General features: G+C 47.8%; 1 annotated feature.

Annotated features, from left to right (window-relative positions):
• Positions 1671 to 1868: a silencer, noted in NCBI's record as "fragment chr14:101081529-101081726 (GRCh37/hg19 assembly coordinates)". NCBI's record gives its function as "represses an EF-1alpha promoter that drives an FKBP-Casp9 reporter gene in an ReSE screen in HepG2 liver carcinoma cells {active_cell/tissue: HepG2}" and the evidence as "EXISTENCE:reporter gene assay evidence [ECO:0000049][PMID:32094911]".

Below are 1868 nucleotides of genomic sequence, written 5' to 3' on the forward strand. Positions count from 1 at the left end.
TTAGGAGATTCTGGTCCAGGAAGATGAGACTGTAAATCAGCGACTTGCTTCCTTGTTTGCTCTGGACACTGTTTTCGCTGTAGTCTATCCTTTTCAAAATGATTGATCGATTGATTGATTGATTGATTGAGATGGGGTCAGGCTCTGTTGCCCAGCTGGAGTTCAGTGGCATGATTTTGGCTCACTGCAACCTCTGCCTCCCAGGCTCAAGCAATCCTCCCACCTCAGCCTCCTGAGCAGATGGCACCACAGGTGGGCGCCACCACACCTGGCTAATTTTTTTGTATTTTTAGTAGAGACAGGGTTTCACTATGTTGTCCAGGCTGGTCTCAAACTCCTGAGCTCAGGAAATCCAACCCCTTCAGCCTCCCAAAGTGCTGGGATTACAGGCTTGAGCCACTGTGCCCGGCCTATCCTTTTTGAGACAGGGTTTTGCTCTGTTGTCCAGGCTGGAGTGCAATGGCACGATCACAGCTCATTGGGACCTAGAACACCTGGCCTCAAGCAATCCTCTGGCCTCAGCCTCCTGAATAACGGGGACTACAGGTGTGTATCACCATGCCCAGCTAATTTTTGTATTTTTTGTAGAGACGGGATTTCTTTATGTTACCCAGGCTGGTCTTGAACTCCTGTCTTGAAGAGATCCTCCTGCCTCAGTCTCTAGCCTGTCCTTTATAAGCAAGTCATGGTGCCACCCACACTTGAGGGGTGGGCATGACACAATAACATGAATACCAAAAGCCACAGGATGATGTATAAAAATCAAGTTATCAGCCAGGTGCAGTGGCTCATGCCTGTAATCCCAGCACTTTGGCAGGCCGAGGCAGGTGGATTGCTTGAGGTCAGGAGTTTGAGACCAGCCTGGTCAACATGATGAAACCCCGTTTCTACTAAAAATACAAAAATAAGCTGGGCGTGGTGTTGGTACCCATGGTCCCAGCTACTTGGGAGGCTGAAGCACGAGAATCGCTTGAACCTGGGAGGTGGAGGTTGCAGTGAGCCGAGATCACTCCAGCCTGGCGACAGAGCGAGATTCTGTCTAAAAAAAAATTTTTTTAAATCAAATTATCTCTGCAGTGGGTTGCTCGAACTGTCCCCTTCACAGGACAGTGAGTGCCCATGGGGACCAGCCTCTCAGGTCGGTGGGTCCCTCAATGGGGTAACTGCTCATTATCAAATGGGACTCACTTTAAGACTTACCCTTGGCACTGAGTCTACCCATCCTAAGCTGTTGTATATCAAAACCTGTGTCAAAAAAAGAAACAGAATTACCATTTGGTCCAGCAATTCCACTTCCAGGTATATATACACAAAAGAAGTGAAAGCAGGCATGCACCAACAGATACTGGTACATCTGGGTTCACAGCAGCATTATTCACAATAGCTAAGAGGCAGAAACAAATGAGTGTCTGTTGAGGGATGGGTGGGTAAACAAAAAGTGGTCCATCCATCCAATGGAATATTATTCAGCCTTGAAAAGGAAGGAGATTCCAACACAGGCTACAGGGTGGACAAACCTTGAGGACATTGTGCTAAGTGAACTGAGCCAGTAACATAAGAACAAGTCCTGTATGATCCCACTTGTAGGAGGTACCCAAAGTGGTCAAATGCATTGAGTCAGAAAGTAGAATAGTGATTTCCAGGGGCTGGAGGGAGAGGGTAGAGGGGGCATTGCTTTACAGAGACAGAGGTCCCTCAGCTTGAGGAAACTGAAAAAGTTGAGGGTGATGATGTTTGCACAATGTGAATGTACTTTTTTGTTTTGTTTTGTTTTGAGACGGAGTCTCGCTCTTTAACCAGGCTGGAGTGCAGTGGCGCAATCTCGGCTCACTGCAACCTCCACCTCCCAGGTTCAAGCGATTCTCCTG

Source organism: Homo sapiens, chromosome 14 (assembly GCF_000001405.40).
Source record: "Homo sapiens chromosome 14, GRCh38.p14 Primary Assembly".
Lineage (NCBI taxonomy): Eukaryota > Metazoa > Chordata > Mammalia > Primates > Hominidae > Homo > Homo sapiens.